At 42.5% G+C, this 27,522-nt stretch overlaps 1 protein-coding gene across 19 annotated transcripts in view, besides 3 other annotated features; it reads right to left on the reverse strand.

Moving 5' to 3' along the window:
* Positions 1 to 487: 487 nt before the first annotated feature.
* The window catches only part of SMYD3 (SET and MYND domain containing 3), a 757,933-nt gene continuing 730,898 nt past the window's right edge, over positions 488 to 27,522 (reverse strand). For all 19 annotated transcript variants that reach the window (NM_001375962.1, NM_001167740.2, XM_047428020.1 and 16 more), the window contains 2 exons: positions 15,182 to 15,290; positions 488 to 805 (listed from right to left, as the gene is read on the reverse strand). In NM_001375962.1, coding sequence (NP_001362891.1) covers positions 704 to 805; positions 15,182 to 15,290 — 211 coding nt within the window. In that variant the 3' untranslated portion in view covers positions 488 to 703. The remainder of the gene's footprint in view (positions 806 to 15,181; positions 15,291 to 27,522) is intronic.
* Positions 14,012 to 14,539: an enhancer, noted in NCBI's record as "NANOG-H3K4me1 hESC enhancer chr1:245926173-245926700 (GRCh37/hg19 assembly coordinates)". NCBI's record gives its function as "activates a minimal SCP1, AML or CMV promoter by ChIP-STARR-seq in primed H9 embryonic stem cells {active_cell/tissue: H9 hESC(primed)}" and the evidence as "EXISTENCE:reporter gene assay evidence [ECO:0000049][PMID:30033119]".
* Positions 25,696 to 26,536: an enhancer, noted in NCBI's record as "OCT4-NANOG-H3K27ac-H3K4me1 hESC enhancer chr1:245937857-245938697 (GRCh37/hg19 assembly coordinates)". NCBI's record gives its function as "activates a minimal SCP1, AML or CMV promoter by ChIP-STARR-seq in naive H9 embryonic stem cells {active_cell/tissue: H9 hESC(naive)}" and the evidence as "EXISTENCE:reporter gene assay evidence [ECO:0000049][PMID:30033119]".
* Positions 26,537 to 27,377: an enhancer, noted in NCBI's record as "OCT4-NANOG-H3K27ac-H3K4me1 hESC enhancer chr1:245938698-245939538 (GRCh37/hg19 assembly coordinates)". NCBI's record gives its function as "activates a minimal SCP1, AML or CMV promoter by ChIP-STARR-seq in naive H9 embryonic stem cells {active_cell/tissue: H9 hESC(naive)}" and the evidence as "EXISTENCE:reporter gene assay evidence [ECO:0000049][PMID:30033119]".

Below are 27,522 nucleotides of genomic sequence, written 5' to 3' on the forward strand. Positions count from 1 at the left end.
AACCACACATTTGGCTAATTACAGAAAAAATTTCAAGGAAAAAAAAAAGACATACACAAGGAGTTATAAAATGCTGATGAGAAAGGTTTACACAAAGAGCTGTGAGACATTCGAAAAACTGGTTTTTGGCATTAAGACTTCCTATCCTTTTCTAGTAATATCTAAAATGGCTTCTTCCTAGCATTTAGGATAAAACTTCTTGTGTTGGAGAAGTATTTGGAAGTAAATAACAAACACAAACATCATTTATCACAAAGAGCAAAAGATGACATCTCAAAATTCTGCTTCTTGCCAAAATGGACATTAAGTTTTTGCTTGGAAGCAAATGTGAAAATAGTGACTTTTATCTAATTATCCCTACATATATCCAAAGAGAAAGTTATAACTTATTTGTCATGCTTTTAATATGATTTTCTGTCTTGAATGTTGGTATTTTAAACATTAAAATCGCCAATGAGTAAGCAAATAAGACAATTACCAGATGGCATCCTCAACCAAATGTTTTGAATTTATTATAATCGTGCTTCTCTACAACTAATGATTCTTGTGGTTTGCAAACCATGTCTGCCTTTATTTACCTACACAAACACGGAACAGAATTTCCAATAGGAGAGGTTCACACAGCTAACAAAGCATAGAGTGTGTGACCTCAATAAGGCATTCAACAAAGACACACGCCGTATTTCCCTCTGACTGCGTTCCCTTAGGATGCTCTGATGTTGGCGTCGCATTCTTCTAAAAGTAGAATCAAATCTTCAATCAGGCTGTGTTCTCTGCCATGTGTCACTCTCATAATATCAAAAGCCTAAAGAGAAAGGACGGAAGAGAGATTAGACCCCAAAATAGGTGAGCTCAGGCCATTCCCCACCTTTACCCCATGATGCCAGGGGCCTGGTGAACCCCACAGGTTTACAGGGTGAACAGTCTTTAACAGGCTTACAGCACTGTGGTTCTCCCAGCTGGAAAGTCACATGAAAAGGGTGATTTCTGAATGTGGTATTTGGAAAGCAGACTCACTATTCGAGTCATGCTGGGGCCCAGTGACAATCGATGATCTTCAAAGACTGTCAGTGCACAGGTTTGGTGGGTAGTCACAGGGATAAGAAGAGTTACCAAAATGATTGAGTCATATGAAAGACCATGCTGCTACCACCTTAAAATTTTTCTTTATTGCACACTCCATTCAATTCTCATCTATATGCACCAGGATTATTATATACATGTATTCTCACATTTTTTTTCATATCATATTATAGCACTGGCATTTCAACAGTCCTCTCCTTCACTGCTCATATTTGGTCCATTATTAAATCTTGTCAACTCTTATCTTCAAAATATTTCTGAAATCTGTGTGGGCTTATGAGTACTTCAATAATAGAGTATAATAGAAGTAAAGCAACTGACTTGTGAGACTAGGTCAAAAAGGCCTCTGTGTTGTTTACTGGTCAGTATGTTTGCTCCCAGAACCAAGAGACTCCATGCTGCAAGGAAGCCCAAGCCACATAGAGGGAGGCCGTGTACAGGCACTCTGGCTGGCAGTCTTAGCCAAGCTCATCTTTCAAGTCATTCTAGACAAGGCACCAGACATGTACATAAATAAACCTTCAGACGATTCCAGCACCCAGCTGAAGACTGCCAGATCTGTCTTCCCAGATGAAACACCAGACATTGTAGAAAAGAAGAAAGCCATTCTTATGCTGTGTGCCAATTCCTGACACACAGCATTTGTGCAATAATTTTGCCGTTGTTTACTCCATTCAGTTTTGGGATGGTTATGGAACAACAAACAACCAGAGTATCCTTGAAAATATTTTTGTAATAAATAAGAGATAAGCAATATTATCCTGCCCTGCCCAAATGGGGGGGTGGGGTGGGGTGGGGTGGACTGGGGAGAAGGGAGGGACACCAGAACCACTGCATTTGATGTAAATGTGCCCAGGAGACTTGTAAAGATATGACTCTGGTGGCTGTTATGCACCCAAAGTACCTGGAAGTGGCACTGAGGCTCTCAGCCTTAGCTACACAGCAGGATCAACCAGGGAGCTTCAAAAGAGACACCGAGGGCCAGACCCTGCACATCAACAGCTGAAGCCTGCTCTCCAGGAATGAGGCCTAGGCCCCAGGAGATTCCAACATGTTCTCAAGGTTGAAAACAACTGATAGAGCAAACTCTCAACAAATAACATCAACTACTCATGATTCAGTGTTAATTTATAGCCAGAAGAATTACCATTTTAATTGTTGTATATAATGAATGCCATCATGCTTATAAACCATTATTTACTAAGCTACTCCTGGAAATTTAGATCACCTCCAATTGTTTATTAGGATATGATGCAGACCTTCCAGAATAGATTTTTTGCCTTTCTTGGATATTTAAGAGCAATTGCTAGGGGTGGAATTCTTGAGCATGAACATCTTGAAAACCACAGAGATTTCAGACCTTGGTGGTCATGTGGTGAGACGCCTGCATTTTGCAATTCTGCATGCAGGAAAACTTTCCATTCTACGTTGGAAAAACGCTGAAGCTTCGAGAAACAAAGCATTTCAGGGGGATGGGTAATTTCAACCTCTGTTTCTGGCTTCTTTTTTCACCTCTTGAATGTTCCCTTTAGGCTGGAAGGAAAACAGGCAGACAGAGGGGGTCTAGATTTGCTGCTGAGAGAGAGAGAAAGAGAGAGAAAGAGAGAGAGAGACAGAGAGACAGAGAGAAAGAGAAAGAGAGAGAGAGAGAAAGAGAGAGAGAGAAAGAGAGAGAGAAAAAGAGAGAGAGAGAGAAAGGGCCAGCGCCTCAGACCCTGGCCTCTCAGCCTGGAAGACAGCTCTGCTCTGAGTCCAGTTGTGACCCCGCACTGGCAGTCTGGCCCCTCACCCTGTGACACTCCAGCTGCAAAGCCCAGAAGGTGGCTGGAGCTGAGATGCTGGCGGTGGGAATTGACTTCCTATTCATGCGAGCAAGTCTGCTCTGTGGGTGCACAGCATCTGCCAGCAAATCCCTAGGCAGGGGGCTGTCCGGAGTGCAGGGGAGGAGTTGGGACCAGCCCCCACCTTGCAAGCAGCCCAGCTCTATGAGATTCCCCTGGGCAGAAGATTAAAAACAAATGTTTGATGGCATTCATGGAGCACATGCCTCGTGTTTTATTCTCTTTTCTCCACACTGCCCTGGATCCTCCGCTGCTCTGGACATCTTGAGGTCTGAGGCAGAGACCTGTGTGACAGCACGATTGCGGAAAGAGAAGGTTTCTCAGATCAGAGAGCCTTCATGGGAAATTTTCTTACTTGAAAGCACTCTTAGATGTTCTCTTCCCTTTTACTCAACAAAGAGCCAGAGTGCTTGTGATCTGGCAAAGGAAGATGAATGGGGCAGAATCACTGCCTGGAAAGATCTTTGCAGAGAGGGACGTAACCCTCCGTCCTGAAAAAGGCCAGACCTAACCTGCTCGGCCTCGCCTCCCTCCCTGCCCTCACAGAGGCCCTCGGCTGGGTGAGGGCCTGGCCTTGTTGCTCAGAATTTCCAGACCAGCCTCTTTTTTGCCCTCCTGGTTACATTCCCCAGGTTCCCCATCTGAAGAATGATCTGTGCTTCTCTCTGACTTGACTCAGAGGCTAAATGACAAAGCCATCTTCTTGTCACTTCAACAACATAAGTTCACTGGCATGCTTTGAACATACTACAGGCTCCAGGCTTCCTTCCTCGCTCTTTTCTTCCAGTTCCAGTGGTGAGTTTCACTTTCTCCTCTTTTGCAGCTTTAAGAGTAAGGTCTACTCCCCACTGATCCAGTATATTCCTGTTCATGGAAGGGGCAGACCTGCCCATCCCACAGTACGGTAACTACTTCCAGTTCTTCAGCCATTCTGGAATTAGAGCCACAGCCAGGAAGGGGGAGTTTCCTGGCCTTCCTCCAGCTTCACATCCACACCTCACAGCCTGCTTCCTTGAGGAAAGACCAGAAGGATCATCTAGTCCAATACCCTCATGTTATGGAAGGAAGTGCTTCCTGAGGTCACCTGGCTTGAGAGTTAGACTAAGGATGACCTCTCGGCTCTCAGGACTCAACCCAGTGTGTCCATTCCATGACTGCATTGTGCAGCCTCCCCGTATGAACAGACTGCAGTGACCAAGGAGAGGAGCAGAGGCTCTCCTGGACATGGCTGCAGAGATACCCTGAGGGGACACAGGTGCCTTCCTTGTCAAGATGCTGCTGGTCATGTTCTGTGTTCTCTTACTTGATGCTGAATGCATCACCAGTAGCAAAGGGGAACAGGGGCAACCCTCAGGAATGTGTGTGTAGAGTCTGAGATACTAAGTTTAGAGGATCTCGTCCATAGGGTGGCTAGAAACAGAGAGGAAATGGGTATGGGTAGGGGCAGAGAACTAATCTGAAGCAACTGAAAAAAAAAAAAAAGAAACTACATCATCTGTCTAGAAAGTAAAACGCCATATAGATTTGATTAATTCACAAGCAAACATACTTTTCTCTGAAAGATGGGCAGATGTAGATGAGAAAGGGAGAGAAAAACGAGAAGAAAGAAGTAGGATTCAGTAATGTGCAAAATATGTTAGTGACTGTGTGTGCGGATGTGTGCGTGGATGAATGGTGTGACACAGGTCAGCAGGAAGCTGCAATTCACACCTGGTGATGAGGACATCTGGTCCTTGTCTTGAACATCACCTGGGCCTATGGGTGAGCTGGGGCAGACAGTCCTCAACAATGTACGGAGAGGGCCCTGTGTGGCCCTGGGCACAGCCCTTCAGCACTGGGTGAGCTGGGGCAGACAGTCCTCAACGATGTACGGAGAGGGCCCTGTGTGGCCCTGGGCACAGCCCTTCAGTACAGCAGGAAGATGAGGAGGGCTTCCCCTCACATTACCATCCCCCAAAAAAGTTACAATAAATTTCTGACAAACGAGAGCAATTGTTTCAAGTAGCTCTGTGTCTCCCTTCTCCTACCACTCCCATCTGTCACCCATGCGCATGTCAGAGAGGACAATTCTGGTTTAATTTCCTGCAGTAGCATATAAAACAGATTAAGGAAATATAAAATTGGAGCAGGCTGGTGTTGGGAAAAGCTTATCTCTTTCCATTAAATTTTATTTTTTTTAATGGTAGCATTTAAAAAGAGCCTGCACATAATCTTTCACAGAGCACTCATTTGAAGCCTCCAAGGAGGGTGCCTGCTACACCCACATCCAGACTCGAAATGTCACATGAGAAAAGCAGCATAGCTTGTCTGCCACATTACAGGCATACAGTTAACTCAGTAATAGAGAAAGGGTCCCCAGAATTGATTTCAATCTCATCTGTTTTTTTAAGTAATTTTAGAATTGTGGTCATATATTAAATAAAATGAATTTAAATCAAATCATAAAGTTGGAAACAATATACCTCTCCTATTAATTTTAATATGAATATATTAAGCTTATCAAGGATCTCAAACAGTTTCTACCATGAGCTTGAGGAATCTAGTAAGTGACTTCCCAAGTATGATTTAAATATGGATATAAAATCAGAGGGAAAAGAAATGTATGCATGATAAGAACCCCTGGAATCAAATCACGACGGGAAAAAATAAAGCAGGTTTTCTTATTCTGCCCAACTCAGAATGAAAGAAAAGCAGAGGGTGGGGCACAGGGAGGAGGAAGCTGGTCTGGGGCATTCAAAGGAGGAAATGCAAGAAGCAAGAGGTACAACACATTAAGCAGCTCTGGAGGCACAAAAAGCCCTTTGCAAGGACAGCAGAGAATCCCAAAGACTTTGATGATCCACCTCAGCTCAGCAGCACCCCTGGAGACCCCACTCCACTCTACATCTTGGATAACTTCAAGTGTGTATTCCGCTGGAGGAATATGTCCTTTTGGGAGGCAGAATTTCCTTAGAGATAACATCTACCCATTCATTCACTCAATACTGTCTGAGCAGCTTTAATGAATAAAACTTGGCCCTTGCCCTGGGAGAAGCTCTGGCATAGTCAGAGGGACAGAATGTAAATACCAGATCATTGCAGTGGAACAGTGTGTGTTCAACAGAGATGCAAAGTGCTGGGGCGCCCAGAGGAAGGAGGAACCAGGTGGCCCCACGGCACCCTCAGGAGGGGTTACAGATGTGGTGAGCTCAGGTCTGTGCTTTCCAGTGGTAGTAGCCATTCCAGAAAAAGCATGGCTGTTGTATCACTGTTTAATCAATCAATCAGTACATATTAATTGAACTCTGAGAGACTCTGAAGAAGTTATGTTTCCTCAGCTAAATAATGAGACTGGACAATATAAATTCTAAGGGCAACCCAAGTCCCAATGTGTTGTACAATGTGCCATGCCAGACACAGCTACAAGGCGTGGATTTGGTTTTGTTTCCAAATATTGTTACTGATTTCTAATTTAATTCCATTGTGGTCAGATAATTTACTTTGTATTAACTTGAATCTTTTTATGTTTATTGATATCTGTTTTGTGGCATAAAATGGTCTCTTTTGGTATTATAGTTACTTAAAAATGTGCATTCTGTTATTGCTGGGTGAAGTGTTTTCTAAATGTCAGGTCCCATTGGTTGATGGTGTTATGGAATTATTTTGTATCCCTCCTCAGTTTCTGTCTAGTTGTTCTACCAACTGTTGACAGAGGAGGTCTGATGTTCCCAGCTGTGCTTGTCTATTTGCTCATTTCTCCTTTCAGTTCTATCAGTTTTTGTTTCTCATGTTTTGCAACTGTGTTGTTTGGTGCATACATATTTAGTACTACTATGTCTTTTTGGTAGACTGACCTTTTTTTCATTATACAATGTCCCTCTCTGTCTCTCATAACATTTTCTTTGCTCTGAAGTCTACTTTACTTAATATTGATATAGCTACTCCAGCTTTCTTTTGATTGTGTTTTTATAATGTATCTTTTTCCATCATTTTGCTTTCAACCTATTTGTATCATTCTATTTAAAAAGAATTCTTACAGACAACATATGCTTGAGTCATTTGTTAAAAATCTGTTCTACTAATCTCTGTCTTTTAATTGGTATATTTAGGCAATTTACATCTTTTACATAGACTACTGACATAATTTACAATGTTATTATTAATACATCAGGGCTTAAATCTGCCATTTAATTTTTTGTTTTCTGTTTGCTCTCTTTTTCTTTCTTTTTCCTGCCTTTCTGTGGGTTAAACTTTTTTTTAGAATTTCATTCTCTAGTGCTTTTGAGTGTATTACTTTATATAGTTTTGTGGTTGCTCCACGTCTTATTATTTATATATATTTTATATATATATACACACACATATATATGTATATATAACTTGTATATAATATACATGTGTATGCATATTATATATGTATATATACAGATATATATGTATATAACTTATCATACTTTACTAGTGTCATCATTTTACCCATTGAACTCAAGTGTAGAAACCTTCCCTTTACATTTTACCCTCCCCCACTCCCCCATTTGTAATACAATTGCCCTAAATATTTCTACTACATACATTTAGAATCATATCAGATAGTGTTATAATTTTTGCTTCAACTATCAAACAATCTAGAAAACTCAAGGGGAGAAGGAAAGATCATTTTACTTACCCACACTTTTGCTGACCATATTCTTTCTTCTTTCCTGATGTTCCAAGAGCTTTCTTTTATCATTTTCTTTCTGTTTAGAGAACTTCTTTAGCCATTCTTTTACAGTAAGTCTGCTAGCGATAAGTTCTTTTAGTTTTCCTTCATCTGAAAATGTCTTGATTTCTTCTTCATTCCTGAAGGATATTCTTGCTGGACAACATACATTCTAAGGGCAACCCAAGCTTTGGGTTAACAGTTCTTTTCTTTCAGTACTTGAAAAAAATATGCTACTTTCATCTGGCTTCTGTGGTTTCTGATGAGAAAATCACTGTCATTCAAATTGTTTTTCCTGTACAGGTAAGTTGTCATTTTTCTCTTGCTGCTTTTAGGACTTTTTTTTTTTTTGTCTTTAGTTTTCAGAAGTTTGAGTATGATCCACAGTCTTGGTGTGAACTGCTTTCGGTTTATACTGTTCGGGGTTTGCTTAGCTTCTTAAATCTACAGGTTTATGTCGCCTGCCAAATTTGCAAAGTTTTCCACTATTAATTCTTTTTTTAAAAACAATATGGTAAAGTACACAAAACACTAATAGTTACCATTTTAACTATTTTTAACTCTTGAGTAGCATTAAGTACATTCACATTGTTGTGCAACCATTACTACTATCCATATAGCCATAACTTTTGCATCATCTTGTACTGAAACTGTGTACCCATTAAACAATAGCTTCCCATCCCCTCCTCCCTTCACACTCTGGTAACCACTGTTCTACTTCTGTCTCTAGGTATTTCACTATTCTAGGTACCTCATATAAGTGGAATAATATGATATTTGTTCTTCTCTGTCAGGCTTATTTCACTTTGCATAATGCCTTCAAGGTTCATTTATGTGTAGCATGTGTCACAATTTTATTCCTTTTTAAGGCTGAATAATATTCCCTTGTATGTATATATCCCATTCTATGGGTTGCTTTTTATTTTGTTGATGGTATCCTTTGATGCCCAAAAGTGTTTAATTTTGGTGAAGTCCAATTTGTTTATATTTTCTTTTGTTGCCTGTAGCTTTGGTGCCATATCCAAGAAATCATCACTATGCCCAATGTCATGAGGCTTTTTCCTTAATGTGTTCTTCTAAGAGTCTAGTAGAAGCTTTTGCTCATATGTTTAGGTCTTTGATCCATTTTGAGTTACTTTATATGGTGTTAAGAAAGGGTCTAACTTTATTCTTTTGCATGTGGATATGCAGCTTCCCCAACACTATTTGTTGAAGAGACTGTCATTTTTCCATTGAGTGGTCTTGGCATCCATGTTGAAAATCATTTGATCATATATGCGAGGGTTTATTTCTGGGCTCTCTATTCTATTCCATTGGTCTATATGTCCATCTATTCCAGTATCACCCTGTTTTGACTACTGTAGCTTTCTCGTAAATTTTAAAATCAAGAACTGTGAGTTCTCCATATTTCTTCTTCTTTTTCAAGACTGCTTTTGGCTATTTGGGATTCCTTGAGGTTCCATATATATTTCAAGATGTATTTTTCTACTTCTTCCCCAAAAAAGCCATTGGGATTTTGATAGAGATTGCATTGAATCTGAAGATTATTTTGGGTAATATTGACATCTTAATAATACTAAGTCTTCGAACCTATGAACATGAGATGTCATTCTCCTTATTTATGCCTTCTTCATGGAGAATAACTTATTCAGTTATTCTCAGATAATAACTTACTTGGTTTTGTGTTATTGCAAATAGCATTATTCTCTTAATTTTGTTTTTGAATTGTTCATTTTTAGCGTTTAGAAATACAACTGATTTTTGTGTGTTGATCTGTATCCTGCTACCTTGCTTAATTCACTTATTAGTTCTAACATTTTTTGGTGTGTGTGTGTAATCTTCAGAGCTTTCTCCATATGAGATCATGTCATCTGTATATAGAGATAATTTTATTTCTTCCTTTCCAATTTGGATGCCTCCACCATTATTTCTTCAAGCACTTTTTCCACCTCACCCTCTTTTTCTTTTCTTTCTGGGACTCCAATGTTAGATCTTTTGTTACTGATTCATAGGTCCCCTGAGGCACTGTTCAATTTTACTTTTTCTTCAGTATTTTTTTCTGTTTTTCAGCTTGGGCAGTTTCAATTGTCTTATCTTCACATTCACCAATTCATTCCTCTGTTTCCTCCATTCTGTTGTGGAGCTCCCTTCTGTTTATTTTGATTATTATATTTATCAGTTGTTAAATTTCTATTTGTGTCTTCTTTACGGCTTCTACTTCTTAACTGAGATTTTCTATTTTTTCCATTTATTTTGAGGGTGTTTGTAATTCCTTGATGAAGCATTTTTATCATGGCTGCTTTAAAATCTGTCAGACTATTCTAACATCTCTGTTATCTTGGAATTGGCATCTACTGATTGCTTTTATTTTCATTAAGATTGAGATATTCCTGGTTCTTGGCATAGTGAGTGATTTTTAACTGAAGCACAAACATTTTGAGTATTCTGTTATGAGACTCTGAATTTTACCTCAACCTGCTTTAGCCGGCTTTCTCTGACATCACTCCAGCAAGAGAATGAAGTGATGACACCCTGTTACTGCCAGGCGGGAGTACAAGTTCAGGTTCCCTATCTGGCTCCTTGTTACTACTGAACTCATACTTCCTGGAAGGTAAATTTCTGCTTATTTCCCATAATACGACTTAATCACTGTGTTTGCATTTTATCCATTATTTTCTTATCTTTTCTCTTTTTTGGTTCAAAAACACACTCTTGGAACTATTATTCTCTATTTGGAGGTCAGTAGGAATCACTCATAAATATTAGAGCCAGGGGCTTCCAAACAACTCTTTGAAGGTATTAGTGACAATTACGGGACATCCTTCCGCATGCCCTCTTACTCCCCCTCTTTCCCTCCCACCTCCCCACACGGTAACGTATGATGTTAAGTGTTTAGAGGAGGGCTTTTTAACCTAGGCACCATGGATACTAAGTCCATGGAAGGGCTTCAGGGAGCCTCTGAAGCTGCCATCCCCACCAAATATACAAAAGGTTGTGTATATTTAACTTTTCTCTGGTTAGTCAGTGGCCCTCATCAGATTCCTAAATAGGGACACAACCAAAGAGGTTAAGAATCACTGTAGCGGATTAAGACATGGGAACAACAGAACTGCATGCTCTAAATCAGCCATTGCTGGGGCTGAAAATCAGGGCAGCCGATGCAGGAATACAAGGAGCAATCTCTAGGACTTGCGGCCTGGTGCTGTCTGTTGAGATGCAGAAAAAGCTAAAAAGATGCTCAATGGGTAAAATACTGCAATAAAATCAAATGAGAAGGGAAAAATTGTAATACAAAAAGTTTAAATACAGATTTTTTTAAAAAAATGGATGCCGAGGGGAAAGAAGTCTAACTTTTGCAACCAGATTTTTGCTGAAAAGCAACTACACTAGGGCCAGGGTGAGGGAGCCTGCAGCATGCAGGGTTCACAGGAAAAAAAACAACTCTGATTAACAAGACAGCCCAGATGGGTTGTCCTTGAGGTCCAAGAAGTCAAATTAGTAGCAAACAAAAGCCTTCTAAGAAATAAATGGAAAGAAATAAAAGTAGATTAGTGACAGGAGAGGGCAGGAGGGAAGCACTGGGAAGGGACCCCAGGACTGTCCTGTGGCAGCAATCACAAGAATTTCAGCTGAGCCCAGTGGAAATGGAAGACTAAACCAAATCAGAGCTGGGCTAAGTGGATTCCTTTCCTGGAGGAGGCTGGAGCCTAACTGAATCTGTAATAAATTTCTGTTTCTGAAGCTCCTCTGATTTCTATTCAAACTCAGTCTTCAAAAACCTTATTCAAGTGATTTCATTCCATTATTTCCAGGGTTTCTAAGACAAGAAAGAGCATCCCGAGGGTGCCCGTCTGAAGATGACATCAGTTTCAAAAGGCAAAGAGTATAGCCTCCCTTTTCCCTCTCCAGGTTACCCGAGTCCTGAGAAAGCTCAGGAAAGAAAGACTTTCTTCAGGAAGAAACTGACCTGCTTCTAGACTCACAGGTCACGTGAGCTTTCCTAGGGATGGATACATTCAGGCCATCCCTCTGCTAGCAAATGCTCAGCAAAGGTCATGAGAAGATCTGGTCCATTAACTGTAAACAGCTAACCAGCAGGCCCAGGGGGAGGCTTTTAAAGACTTCTATCCATTAAAAAAATCCATTCATTCAAGCATGTATTTAACAGAACTTGCCGTATTGGGGGCATGTGTGTCTATGTTAGGTGGCACCAGAAGACACAAAAGGAATGTAAGGTCCCTTGAGGGATTCCCACTCACCTTGGGGAGCAAAACACTGCTGGGGAGCAGTCATAGAACATAATTGTTCACCAGAGGAACCACCGTGTACCCCAAACTACAAACACAAGTACTGAACAGACCAGCTAGTGGGAGAGTGATCAGAACAAGAGTTCCTGTAACAATACCCATCTTTAATAGTTTCAGAATGCTTGAGATTGGCAAGCACACTCTCCCGCATTGCCTCGCTTACTCCTCAAAACAAGTCTATGGGATAGCTATCAGCTTCCTTTTACAAATGAAATTATATTCAGAGATTAACGCAAATGGTGGGACTGGAACCTGAACCTACTGACTCTAAATCCTTGCACTCTTTCTACAACTCTGCCAGGAGTGCATGTTTGCTCCTTGGTTGATCATCAGACCTTGGCAAGAGACTCAATGACTTTTGTAGAGACACACAGCAAGTTTGGGTAAGGCCACCATTTAACCCCAGGCCTCATGACAGATAATCTGATGCTGCTCCCAGAATACCTTTCATTTGGCATCTATCAGGGTGTATGCCTGAGCTTCACCTTGGTACCAAGAATAGGAAAAGCTAACATGATTACGAAGAGAAGCTTCTGAAAGAGGCGATGCAACCTCATCAGAAGGGTGTGAGGGCAGCAGAACAGACCTGGGCATGAGGGATGTAAAGGGCAGTAAGAGGGTCATCTGAAGGGCTGGTGATGGTCAGTACCATCAGCCCAGGCCACATTATCCTGAAAATCCATAGCGAGATGTCTGTCTGGGTTTGTTCAGGCTTGTCCTTATAGTTGAGGGTATTAGATGTCTCCTTCAGAAGTTCTGTATGCAATAGCAATGACTAAAGCTTCACATAAGAAGCAATCTAAATCTTCTCTGATTTCTCTCCCATATTTTTCCCTGAGTTGGCATCATGGGTTCGGTTAGATCTTAAGGGATTTCTGCACACTGATCTTACTAGAGAGCCTCATCTATTTAACTGGACCAGTCTAGAGGAAAAGAGCAGAGCCTTGGTTTCTGGCCTGGATTTAATGACTTGTACATGTCTATCTCCTCCATTAAATTGTACACACCATATTGAGTCTTTTTTTTTTTTTTTTTTTGAGACAGTCTCACTCTGTCGCCCAGGCTGGAGTGCAATGGTGCAATCTTGGCTCACTGTAACCTCTGCCGCCTGGGTTAAAGCGATTCTCTCACCTCAGCCTCCTGAGCAGCTAGGATTTCAGGCACCCGTTATCATGCTCAGCTAATTTTTGTATTTTTGTAGAGACGGGATTTCACCATGTTGGCCAGACTGGTCTTGAACCCCTGACCTCAGGTGATCCTCCTGCCTCAGCCTCCCAAAGTGCTGGGATTATAGATGTGAGCCACCGCGCCCAGCCTGAGTCTTATTCAAAGTAGTAGAAGTATTTGATCACCATGTTGAATTAAATTGAACAAATACACCTGGCTCTGCCTCTGTGCGACTTTAGGTGAGCTCTTGCATGTCTCCAAACCTGAGCGCCTTCACTTTCCAAATAGGAATGAAAATGCCTGTCCCATTGACCTCACACAGCTGTCACCTGTCATGGGGACTGAGTATGATCACGGATCACGTACGTACGAGCAGTATTCATAGTTTCTAGTCCCATATAAACACAAAGGTCTAGTCTGATCACTTACGAACATCTACTTGCAGGTGACCCTGTGTTGGGTGCATCGCACATTAGGAAATTTCCTGCACGTTGTTTTTCTGTCAGGACTTTCACACAGTAGGCCCTTGATAAGGATTTGCTGTACCTTGCTGATTCGACTGGCTGACAAGTACCCCCAGACCAGAAAAGGAAAGTTCTCCCTGAGGCTGCAACAGACGGTGCGGTGTTCTTCCCCCGCCTGGGTAAACATGCCAGACATGATAAAAAGAACAGAATAGCTGAGTGCCCTCAGGGAATCCTAGTGTTACTCCCGTTGGCCACACGCTGACTTTATTTAGAGATCAAGTAAAGGCGCTATGGCTAGCATTCGGCGAAAATGAGCACTGTGGAATCTGGCTTTTAAGAATCCCTTCGGCATTTGTCATTTCTCTTAGGTCCATGTGGGCGGCTGCCAGTGTTTTGGGATCAGCCGGCCCCTGGACACGCCCTGAGCAACCCTGACGCCCGATCCTTCCACCGTCACTCTTCTGCACACAAGGGCATGGCGGCCCAGAGGGTCCTGTTAAAGTGTCAAGCGCTTCCTATGATACCCGCACGCCAGGTCTCCATACAACCCACCAGTGCCTGGCCAGGTGAGCATGTGAGCTCTCCTTTGGAAGGGTCACGGACTAGAGGAGAGGAAGTTCTGCTGAGGTGGGAAGGCCTGGGCCAGACAGCAGAGAGCCCTGGGCTCCTCCGGGCAGAGGAGACTCCCTGAGCGGGTGAAACTAACCATCGTGTTTTAACAAGCTATTCCAACCCTAAACCAGTTCTCCCAATTAGTTTCTTGACACTTATTGCCAGAACCGTATTCACTGACCTCCTTCGCTTCCTCCCTCCTCCTTCCCTCAATAATGAATACTTCCTAAGTTCCAGATCCCTTGCATGGCACTGAGCTGGTTGCCAAGATAACCACGAAGCCCTCACACTCTCCTGGGGGCAGGGGTAAGGGTGGTCATCGGGTATGCCTACTGCAATGTGAAAAGGGCTCTCCTGGCAGGGTGGGCAGAGAGCTGTAGGGGTAGGACCACAAAGTAACACTGGAATTGGGCCTTAAAGGATCAGCAGAGTCCTGCCAAGCCCAGGGGGTTGTGATGCGGAGAGCACTTAAGGCAGAGGAAAAAATAGCTGTGTGAAGATGGAGGAGTGAGAAGTTCAGGGTCACAGTGGGTCCTGGTGAACAGCAGTGATCACTGGGTGGGTGGAAAGGAAGAGAGGAAGGGCGGGGAGAAGTGGCTGCAAAGGTGAACTGCCACACAGATGGTCAAGGGCTTGCCACGCGAGGGACACGGACTGTGTTCCGTGGGCAATGGGGAGGAGGCACAAACAAGGTCAACTTGCTAAACGTGGAGAGGGCACAGGAGCAGTGGTGTTCTCAGACTGGTTTGTACCAGTGGCAAGAGTAATTGTTAATATTATTTTTATAAGAAGGTTGATTTTACATTTAAAATCAGCCATGGTGGGCATGCCTGCATCACAGAAATAGGCAAATGTCATGAAGCAGGTTTTTTCCAGAGTGGTTGTTAAACATTTACCAGCACACACTGGGCATGCGTGTGTATGCGTGCACACATACATAGAGCTGCTAACAAATCACAAAGAGGCCCAGCAACAGCAGAAAAAAAGGATGCCAGGCAGAACTATGTGAGATCTTGGCACACTCACCAGTCTCAGATTCTTCATTGCTTGGGGAAACATGCCTTGATGTAGCTGCAGTTTGCCAACTTTCATCACTTGAACCCCTCTGACGGGATGGCTTCCTGGGAAAAAAATCCTGGAAGAAACCAAACGGCAAACAGTGTCAGCAGCCCTCACCTTTGCAGTCAGCATTTCATCAGGAGACTACGAAAGTGGAAGCAGACACTAGCTGTGAATGTTAATGAGCTACTGAAAGGAAATCAGCTTTGCAATCCAGGAGAATGCAGTACTGAGGGGAATTGACACAGGACTGGTCTCCAGCTCCTCAGAATGTGTTTTGTGTTAGGGAAAAAAAATGACAGGACTAGAAGGTCTCCCTCATAAACACTAGAGAAGAGAAACAAAAGTTTGGAGCTCTGCGTTGATATTTGGGAGGGGTGGGGCGGGGAGAACAGGTGCTAATCTCCTCCTCCAAGCTCTTCCATGAAGCATCAGCATCAGCACTAGCACAGCCCTGGAACAGCAGATTGCCTCTCAATATATATTTGTTGAATAAACAAAGTTTTCATCATCCCCCAACTAGATCCTACCACACCCCCCTTTTAACCGCAAAGCCCTTTGATTGAATCTCAGCTGTGGAGTCCATCATGGTACACCTTTCTTATGAGCACGTGTGTATTTATTTATCATCTCACTGGATTATAGTGCTTTTTATTCAGGCACCCCATCTGCGTTCTCCATGATGTCTGACATGCAGGAGGAACTCAATCCATACTGGACCCTTTCACATAGAACAGAATAGAATACGGTGTTGTCGTGGACCAAAGAAAGAGGACGCACACGACTCCGGCTATGGGCTGTTTCAGACCCTGTGAAGAGCTGTATTACTTCAATTCAACAAGAATTTACCATATTGGATTTAACCAAATATGAGCAGTTTGGCCTCTTCTGGCCCCAATACCCCCTACCCCTACTCTTAGAGAATACTGAGCCCCCGCTGTATATGCAGAATTGTCTCTGGTGGAAATGCCTACACACACACACACACACACACACACACACACAAAACCACAGTTTAAATGAGCTTTTCAGGACAGGTGCGATGGCTCACACCTGTAATCCCAGCACTTTGGAGGCCGAGGCAGGCGGATTGCTTGAGCTTAGGAGTTTGAGACCACCCTGGGTAACAAGGCAAAACCCTTTCTCTATTAAAAAAAAAAAAAAAATACAAAAATGAGCCAGGTGTAGTGGAGCATGCCTGTAGTCCCAGCTACCTAGGACGCTGAGGTGGGAGGATCACTTGAGCCCTGGAGGCTGAGGCTGCAGTTTCACACCACTGCACTCCACCCTGGGTGACAGAGTGAGACCCTGTTTCAAAAAAAAAAAAAGTTTTTTCCTTGAGGCTGAATCATCCCATTAGACACAAGATAAACATTCCTGCAGGAGTTAAAACAATGTTACAGGACGGAGCATGATTTAGCGCCCAAATAAGGCATAACTTAGTATACCCTAGATGTCCAGTTCAAGTTTGTTGAATTGAACTGAGAAAATGATACAAGTATTGTGAAGACAAAGAGGTGACTGATGGTTGGTTGGACTGGGGAAGGCTTCCTGGAGGTGGGAAATTGGACTTACACTGGCTCCCAAGGATTTGGAGAGGCTTGGCTGGGTAGGAGAAGGGAAGCATATCCCAACCGTCAGAGAGAACGAGCAAGGGCACACTCTAAATGCTGCTTCTCCAGGGACGGAGGTGCCTGCCCACAGACATCACTAAGATGACCTAGAATCCATCACTCACGCAGGGCCTGCCATGTGCCAGGCGCTGTTCCAACTGCTTTTCATCCATGAACCCAGAGAACCCCATCTAAGCTCTATTATATAACAGTGATGAGGCGGATTTACCAGGAGAGACAGGTATGTTCTCTGAAAATGCACACATATCTGCAAACCATTCCCTCTCGCTGAATCTTAACTCTTCCTCCCATGAAATGTGATATAGAAACACTTTTTTTTTCATTCATGCTCTTAAGAAGTAGAAAGCAGTACCTGGGAGGAAAGTATTTAAACCGACAGAAAGTTGGGCATGCCTCTTTTAAAAAGCTGAAAAGGGGCTGGGCGCGGCGGCTCACACCTGTAATCCCAGCACTTTGGGAGGGCGAGGTGGGCAGATCACAAGGTCAGGAGTTTGAGACCAGCTTGGTGAATATGGTGAAACCCCGCCTCTACTAAAAATACAAAATTTAGCTGGACGTGGTGGCAGGCGCCTGTAGTCCCAGCTACTCGGGAGGCTGAGGCAGAAATGCTTGAATCCAGGAGGCAGAGGCTGCAGTGAGCCGAGATTGCAGCACTGCACTCCAGCCTGGGCAACAAGAGCGAGACTCTGTCTTAAAAAAAAAAAAAAAAAAAAAAAGGCTGAAAAGGGAGCGGAAGGGGGAACAACAAAGGAGACACTGGGTCCTGGATTTTTCTTCATCTCTTCAGTATGCCAAGGGGTCAATCACTTTACCTCTCACCCCTTACGAAATGAACATCATTATCTATTTGTGTAGAAATGACTTTAAGATCCCCAGACAAAAGGCATAAGGGCAGGACGCCATCATCAGAGGGTAACTGCCCTGGACACTTTCCTTGAAAAGCACGCCTGGATTTGGGGTGTTATATTATTACTACGAATGTAGCATCATTAAACTTAAAGGCCAAAAAGTGATCTTACACTAATCATCACTCCACTAAGTAGATGTCTGTCATGTCAGTTAGCAGAAGGAAAGACAATCTTCAGTTCTACGATGGCAGAGAAAGCGGTGTGTCATTACGCCATGACAGGTACCTGCCCCGGTAGCTCAGATATTTCAAAATGAAGTAGAGCTTACAAAGGAGAGCATGAGGAAGCGCTTGTCCAGGGGCACTTCCAAATAAATATTTCCAGGGCAGCCTCACAGCTCTATGGGGCTGCTGATTGCGGGCCTGGTTGGTTTCTGGAGGCCTCCCAGCTGACATAGAGAATAAAAATCATGATTCCTTGCTGGAGTATAACTCCAAGGAAAGCTGGTCAAGCTCACTCCTGCTGGGAGACATTCTTCAAAGGTGTGGCCTTCCATCCACTTCATGGTGTAGAGCAGGGATGGGGAGAGAAGAGGGCCTGGAGGTAGTAGTCTTGACAGGACAAAAAGACGGTCATCTTTTGATAGGATTGTCAAAAATAAAGACCGGGATTAAGAGTCCAAAGTGAAGCAGCAATCAGGTGTGTCCAAGGACCGTGAGGACTAAAGCAGGAGTCTGAGTGAGAAGGTGAGGGGAAGATGCACCTACAAGATACTGGATTCCGGGTCCGGCCCCATAAGCAATCTGCAGAAGTCCAAAGTGAGTCCCTGCCCTTGGTTAGCATGTAGTTTGCAGGTGAGGCAAATGAAATCATGATATAGAAAGGCATGTGACAGCCACCTGACCAGGGCACAGTCCTGGTCAATATGGTGAAACCCCGTCAATATGTGTGAAACCACACAATGTGTGCTCTGGGAGCAGCCGGGACCACAGTGATCAGGGGAGTGGCAGAGCCTGAGTGTGTTTCCACTGGAGATGATGATGGGATCCTGGGACAAGGGAAGGGATGGATGGTTGCTCTGGTGATGGGATAGGAAGCTGAATGCCAAAGGGCAGTGAGCATGCTGGTCCGGCCAGCAGAGGAGGGGAGTGGGAAGGGAGGTGCACTCAAGGCCAGGCTGTGCAGAGGCACACACACGTGCAAAGCTAGGAACTCTGGACTTCTCTTGCCAGCAGTGAGGCCAGGCTGTGCAGACACACACGCGCAAAGCTAGGAACTCTGGACTTACCTTGCCAGCAGTGAGGCACTACCAAAGGGGGCTGAAGATATTTTATCACAATAGAAAACCAAGAAAATTGGAAAACAGACCCTAGAGGCAAAAATACTTGAGGTAGGATAGCAGCAATATCAACAGAAAAGAAGGACTTGGTACAAGAAAGGTTATGCAGCTGATTTAACAGAATCTGGGGATCCAAGGGGGTGCAGTGGAGTCTGAGTTGACTCCATGATTCAGAAATAGAAACGCTTCCACAAAAACATACAAGCAAACTACATAACAACAAAATCATTCAACAAGGCAGTTTACTTGTTTGGGTGATATAAATTTTCCTTTCACAGGTATAATGCTAGCAATCACATGTTCCAGAATGCTTGGCCTAGATTGGAAAAAAATGTTTTTGGTGTTTCTATGGTGAATAAGTGCATAAGAAGAAATGGGTTTAAACAAGCAGAGAAAAGAAGGAAATGTACACACCAGCTTTAACTCAGACCCACAAGCACCAAGATCTTACTGATATATTTTACAGGGAGGCTGAAAGTCAGGGAACTGGGATCTGAAGTCAAAAGGACATGGAGAAGAAATATCTGATGCCAGGATCTCTATCAGTCTGGCTGAGGTTGCTGATCTCTATTGGTCCTACGTGACACAATTACCAATCACATTATTCCGTTACAGATGGCAGCTTTGGCATTCACAGGGTAGGAAAAGGCCTTTGTTATTCAGGGCTACTGCTTTGGTTTGAATGTGTTCCCTCCAAAATTCAGATGCTGAAACTTAATGGCCAATGTGGTAGTGTTTGGAGGTCCGGCCTTTAAGAGGTGATTAGGTCATCAAGGCTCCTCCCCTTGTGAATGGGATTAAAGCCCTTATAACACAGGTTTCACGAAGTGTTCAGCTTGTTTGCCTTCCACTGTGTAAGGACACAGTGTTCCTTCCCTCCAGAGGATGTAGCAACAAGACATCATGTTGGAAATGGAAAGCAGCCCTCACCAGACAACCTGCTGGCACCTTCATCTTGGATTTCATGACTTGAACTTCCCAGCCTCCGGAACTGTGAGAAAAAAAAAAATTCTGTTCTTGGTGAATTACCGTCTATGGTATTTTGGTGTAGCAGCACAAACTAAGTTAATACAATTATTTTTTAAAAACTGATGCAAAACATATTACTGAACCTGAAAGGAGAACTTAACCTGCCTATTTAAATTGTATCTTAGAGTAACTAAATAGCTCCAGTTGTATGAATTTTAGCTGATAAATGTGGAATGATGACAGAATTAGAAAAATCATTTTGCAACTCCTGGAGAATTATTGGACTGAGGGGAGAAAATATCACTTGATGAAACCATTAGATAAAAGGATGGTAAAGAATTTTACAGTGGGTGGATTAACTTGTCACCATCTAAATCCACTGATCAATCTTAGCACCACCGAAGGAGGACAACTAGACACTAAGTGCCATCCGACGCAGAAGGAATTATTTTTGACCACCCCTCAACGATCCTTGTGAAACAAAACAGAACCCCACACACTGAAGCTGAATCTAACCAAGGCTGCAAAGTCAAATCCCATTTCATGCAAAAAACAAGGGACAGAGGGACAAGTAGAGCAGTCAGCTGAATCTGGGGTACGGGAAATTCTACAAAAGCCCGGACCCGGGATCTTCAACAAGTCAATCACATCGAAAGAAAAAGATGGTAGCGGGAGAAGAATACTGTAGATTAAAAGAGATGTAAGAGATGTAACAGCCAAATACGAGGTGCAGACCTTGTGTATCCTTACTCAGCCAAGACAACTGTAAAAACATATTTCTGGGATAATCCAGGAAATCTGAGCATGAAATGGCATTGCGCATGGAAGAAAAAATGTCCTCATTTTTCAGAGATACAAAACTGAGGTACGTATGAATTAAATGACCTAATATCTGAGATTTCACTTAAATATAGTCAGTCCTCTGTATGCACAAGACGTTAGTTCCAGGATCCCCACAAATACCAACATCTGTGGATGTTTAAGTCTCTTACAGTCAGCCCATGGTATCGCTGGGTTATAAATCCCCAGGTCCAGCATCTGCAGGTTCCAACAACTGCAGATCAAAAACACAGCTGGCCCTGCATATCCACATGTTCTGCATCCAGTTCAATCCAGCAGAGATCACTCAACGCAGAAGCCATGAATTTAGAGGGCCAACTGTATCTTCAGCAGATTTTCAGCTTCCAGCAATGGTGGAGTAGCTTATTTCAGACCAAGCAGCTTATCTGCTGCTGAAAACACGAAATGCTGTAAACAGGAAAACATAGACAAAAAAGTATTTTTAAGAATCTGTTTGAAGGTATCAAGGAGCCACTGAGGCAGCAAGATCTTGAAAAGTCAAGATCATGGAAAGAGTGGAAGGTGAACCTTGTATTCATTGGTACTTTTCCCTTTGATGATCTTAGAGACAGAGAGGCTCACCAGCTGAGCAATATTTTTGGCAGTCTCATAGAAAAGGAGACACAGAAACTGGAATTCAGGGATCAACAATGATAACAAGGAGCTCCAGTAAACATTCCTGGCTTTCGACTCTGACCACCAAAGGACTACAATCTATCTAGGTATAGTAAATTAGAAATAAAGCAGCCATTACAAAGAATGAATCACTTCAAATCCTGATTGGATTAAGGTACGAACTCTTTCTATCCTGATTCCCAGAAGCAAAAGTAAACATGTCTGAAGGAGATAACATCATCCTCAGCCTCAACTTATCTCAAATTTTCTGTATAATGTTCTGCATTTGGTAAAATTATAACCCGGCATACAAAAAGACAAGAACTCTCTGAAAACCAAGAAGAACAATATAGACAGTGACATAAGACCTACAGGTACTGAAATGGTAAGGTTCTCATACACAGACTTTAAAATAGCTCATAAATATGTTTGAGAACTTAAATAATATGTAAGAATTTTAGCAGAAAAATCAGAAATTATGTAAAAAATAACCAGTGGAAATTTTAGAACTGAAAAATAGAAAACTAAAATTAAGAACTTAACAGTCTAACATTAGATTAGTCAGAGCTGAGGAAAGAATTAGTGAACTGCAAGGTAGGTCAAATGAACATATCCATCAAAGATACAGAGACAATGTAACAGAAATAAACAGGAGCAGAGGTCTCATATGTGTCAACTGGAATCTCAAATGAGAGAAAGGAGAGAATGGGGCAGAAGCTATATATATACACACACACACACATACACACATATACATACATACATATATATACCCACATATATACATACATATATACACATACATATATATACATGTATATATACATACATACATACATACATATGGCTGTAATGGCGGAACATTTTCAAAACTAAAGACAGCAAGTCACAGATTAAAAAATGCTAAGAATTGCACAGAAACTACAATAATTCAGCAAAGGGAAAAAGAAGAAGGATGAGGGATAAGGTAGGCGTGGCAAAATCTTGATAAGAATTACTGAAGCTGGATGATAGACATATGAAAGTTCATATTATTCTATTTTTGTGTACATTTGAAAATTTTCATAATCAGGGCACTGGATTTTACTTTTTCACTTTTAGAAATGATGGACTTCAGGAGATAGCCTCAAGTTTCAAAAGATTTGGAATTTTACTAAATTTTGAGCCTTCTGTAGAAATAAAATGATACATTCAATGAACAGTATATAACAGCCTTCCAATGCTGTTTCAAGACATTAGACAGACATAGACTTGATAGCTAGAATAATAGCAGAGGGAGCAACAGCCCACAGTGAACATTAAAAGGCTTCGCTTTAGGTCTTAAAGCAAATGTAGAAACTCAGTGTCATATGCCAGGAGTAAACGGGACAAAGAGGCATGAAGAGGCACATAGAGTCAGTCTTCTGATGTTCCTTAGGCTCTGTTTAATTTAAAGCAGCTGTTTTATGGAAGTTATTTATGCCTTTGTGGTAGGATAACTTTATTAGTAATATGATATATTTTTGTTGCTGGGAGGGAAAAAAAAGGTCCTAACATCAGGAAACAAAACCAAAGGGGAAAAAAAAAGATGGGCCCCACAGTCATGAAACCACCTCAGAACACGGAGAACTACTTCTTACCATGACCTTAATTCACCCAGGCTGCTACTCTGGAGAGGTGCTGTTTCCCAAGTGGGTGATGAATCACTGCTTCTCCATCACCTCTACTGCTGTGCTTTGTTGGTGACAGGGAGATCAGGGCCGTGAATTCTTGTTTCCAAAAGAAAAAGAACTTGGGTTCCAGCCCAGACTGAACCCTCAGCTCTTGTTTGGTTTCTGATATGTACTATTGGCCTCATATCATTAAGATGGATCTGCACTCCCCCATCTCTATGTGAGTAACAGAAAGAAAATTCGTGGTGTCACACAGGATTTGACAACATCACAGTGAGATTTTATCTAATGCAATGAAATTTTTCTTGCATTTCTTTTACTTCATAAACTGAGATACATTTCTACTTCTCTTAAAACCTTCCACCAAATAGGTCCTTCACTCAAAAGGTGGGGTTTAGGCCAGGCGCCATGGCTCACACCCTTAATCCCAGTGCTTTGGGAGGCCAAGGAGAGAAGACTGCTCCAGGGCAGGAGTTCAAGTGCAGCCTGGGTAACATAGTGAGATGCCATCTCTACAAAAGGAAAAAAAAACAATTTAACTAGTCAGCCATGCTTGGTGTTGCACAGCTGTGGTCCCAGCTGCTTGGGAGGCTGAGGTGGGAGGATCACTTGAGCTCAGGAGTTTGAGGCTGTAGTGAGCTATGATGGTGCTACTGTACTTCAGCCTAAGTGACAGACAAGACTATCTCTACAAATAAATACATATTTTTTTTAGAAGTAGGGTTTTCTTACTCTTATTAGTTTGACAATTAAGAGTTACTTTGCACATGATCCATTATTAGAATCTTTAATCAGATAAGAATAAAAGAGACTTTCAATTATCTGAAATGTCCATGTTATTCAGACTCAGGAGCACAGAGGGTAGGAAAGCAGTAGATAAATTAGAATGAAGGAGATACAAGATTTGGGCTGAAGACATGGCTCTTCCAGTTAGTTGAATGACTATTTCACAACTAATGTGATAAGAGATTGGAGAGCATCTGGAAATGTATACAACTCCATACGAACACAAACTAGTATTATTAAGTTTCCAGGGCTAGTAAATGTATGGTAATTAGTGGAATGCACTGTTGCACCCACATGGAGATTACACACTGGGTTGGGGGTGGGGAGAATCACTAAAAAAAAAAAAAAAAAAAAGCATGATAGCATCAAAATGGTCATTTTCCACAGCCAAAAACAAACAAACAAAAAAACAGAAAACCACTTGAACTACTGCTACATTTGCCTGTTTCTTTTAAAATACAAGGGGCTTGGGCAGCAACACACAGGAAAGCCTGGAGTAGTTGAGATGATTCTGGGTGAGTGTCCTCATTAAGGGAAAGACTTATGTTGCAGATAGGACTAAGCATCCAATAATGAACCAAACTGGGGTTTTGGTCTTTCCTTCTAGAAAACACACTGAGAAACTCTTGCCTATATTTGTAACTTTTATATTAAGTGTGTTCAATTATTTTCACTTCACACTGGACTTAAAAATTTCCTCACTCTCATGCCCGCGAGCAGCCTGGCTGGCAGCAGGGAAACCTCAGGGGCTGTGTGGATGGCCCTCAGTGTGGCGCAGGGGTGAGGACTGGCCAGCATCTTCCAGGCAGGCAGGACAGTCCTCCACTTCATGTAAACAGTTTCCTCTTGAAGACTCCTAACAGTGATAATGCTGTCCTTTTGCCTGTCTCATATATGACAGCACTATTTTTTTAGAGTGTGAAACATTTGATGACATCTTGAAGGATTTCAAAAAGGCTGGCTAGCACAACTGAAGTATAAAATAACCATAATTTAGTTTAATACATCCTTGAGAAAAAATGGTAATGAGATATTCCCTACAAAAACTGCATTTATTCTGTATAGTCTATCCTTGTGTGGGATAAAGTTCTGAATGTACACACTCAAGCCCTCCAAAGATGGTCATATCATTCAGATCATTCCTCAAGAAACTTAACAGCAGAAAGTTTAAAATTTTCAGAAAATTTTAAATTTATTTGAACGTTTTAGTTCAAGTTTATAAAAGTTGGTTTATATTCTACTCCTAGAAATGCAGCAGGCATGGTAGCTATACCGATTCAATGGGAGCATACTGAAAACAATGTAGAACGCTCGATGAAATATTCTAAAAAGCAGTAAGATGCTGGCAAGATAGGAAGGCATTGTCAGGCCAGAATGTGAGTGAAGAAGGACTCCTGACAAATAAGCAGAATAGCTGAACTGCTGGTCTGCTGGAGTCTCTGTCCTCCTCTGCTCTGTGGGACTTGGGGGACAAAAGAGCAAGCCCACTGTCTCCCCAGCAGGATGGGGTCTAGTAGGAAATCCTTCCTTTCGTTCAACTTATTTGGAATGGTAAGTAAGACATGATTGCCGGTAACAGAAGGAAACAGATTACATGCAAGAGTCCCAGAGAGCTGACAAGCAGTTGCAGAGTGGAAGCTGAAAGAAAGCCAGTGGAATGACATCTTCCATGTTCTGAGGAAAACAAACTCCTCCTCTAGAATTCTACATCCCAAAAGACATCTTTCAAGAATAAGATTGAAGAGCTGAAGGGTGCAGGGCTTCTGATGATGATGAAAATCTTCTGAAATTGACTGTAGTCATGGTTGCACATATATTAAAATATATTGAAAACCACTGAAGTATACACTTTAAATGGATAAATCCCTCTCCCTCTCCCCACAGTCTCCCTCTCCCTCTCTTTCCACCGTCTCCCTCTCCCTTTCCCACGGTCTCCCTCTCCCTCTCCACGGTCTCCCTCTCCCTCTCTTTCCACGGTCTCCCTCTGATGCTGAGCCGAAGCTGGACTGTACTGCTGCCATCTCGGCTCACTGCAACCTCCCTGCCTGATTCTCCTGCCTCAGCCTGCCGAGTGCCTGCGATTGCAGGGGTGCACCGCCACGCCTGACGGGTTTTCGTATTTTTTTGGTGGAGACGGGGTTTCACTGTGTTGGCCGGGCTGGTCTCCAGCTCCTAACCGCGAGTGATCCGCCAGCCTCGGCCTCCCGGAGGTGCAGGGATTGCAGACGGAGTCTCGTTCACTCAGTGGTCAATGGTGCCCAGGCTGGAGTGCAGTGGCGTGATCTCGGCTGGCTACAACCTCCACCTCCCAGCCGCCTGCCTTGGCCTCCCAAAGAGCCGAGATTGCAGCCTCTGCCCCGCCGCCCCGTCTGGGAGGTGAGGAGCATCTCCGCCCGGCAGCCGCCCCCTCCAAGAGGTGGGGGACACCCCCACCCGGCCAGCCGCCCTGTCCGGGAGGTGTACGCAGCAGGTCATTGAGAACGGGCCATGATGACGATGGCGGTTTTGTCGAGTGGAAGGGGGGAAGTGTGGGGAAAGGAAAGAGAAATCAGATTGTTGCTGTGTCTGTGTAGAAAGTAGACATGGGAGACTCCAGTTTGTTCTGTACTAAGAAAAATTCTTCTGCCTTGGGATCCTGTTGATCTGTGACCTTACCCCCAACCCTGTGCTCTCTGAAACATGTGCTGTGTCAACTCAGGGTTAAATGGATTAAGGGCGGTGCAAGATGTGCTTTGTTAAACAGATGCTTGAAGGCAGCAGGCTCGTTAAGAGTCATCACCACTCCCTAATCTCAAGTACCCAGGGACACAAACACTGCGGAAGGCCGCAGGGTCCTCTGCCTAGGAAAACCAGAGACCTTTGTTCACCTGTTTATCTGCCGACCTTCCCTCCACTATTGTCCTATGACCCTGCCAAATCCCCCTCTCCGAGAAACACCCAAGAATGATCAATAAATACTAAAAAAAAAAAAAAATAAAAAAAATAAATGGATAAATTGTAAGCTGTATAAACTGTCTCTCAATAAATCTCTTAAAAAGGATAAAGATGAAATAAAAATATCTTTAGACAAAGAAAAATTGAAAATTTGTCACCAGATCTTCACAAAAGGAATTTCTAACATTTTAGTTGAAAGGAAAATCATCCCAGATGGATGGTCTAAGATACAAGAAAAAATGGACAAAGAGAATGCTTAATATGGGCAAATCTATGAATACTGACAAAATAATTTTTGTGGGTTAAAATATGGTAAAAATTAAAATACACAACAATTATAGCATATGTATCAGTAGGAGAAACAGTAGTATTCAAGCGTTTTAAAGCCTCTCTACATCCACGAAGACCGTAAGAAAGTAACATACTTTCTTTACAATTCTTTAAACAGTTCATCTGTGACTTATATATCCTTCACAATATGTGATTTATTTAATAATTTTAAAAGTCTTAATTAAGACTTTTTAATGTTCTGTTTAATGTAACTGATTTAATGTTCTGTTTTAATTTCTGAGTACAAAGCCAGTTTGCGGAGAGCAGTCAGGTTAATAGGTAATCTAGGGATTTAACGATCTCAAAGATTGAGTGTTACATCAGTAAGAAAGGAGCATTGTCGTTAAAAAAAACCCATACC

This window comes from Homo sapiens, chromosome 1, assembly GCF_000001405.40.
Source record: "Homo sapiens chromosome 1, GRCh38.p14 Primary Assembly".
Classification (NCBI taxonomy): Eukaryota; Metazoa; Chordata; class Mammalia; order Primates; family Hominidae; genus Homo; species Homo sapiens.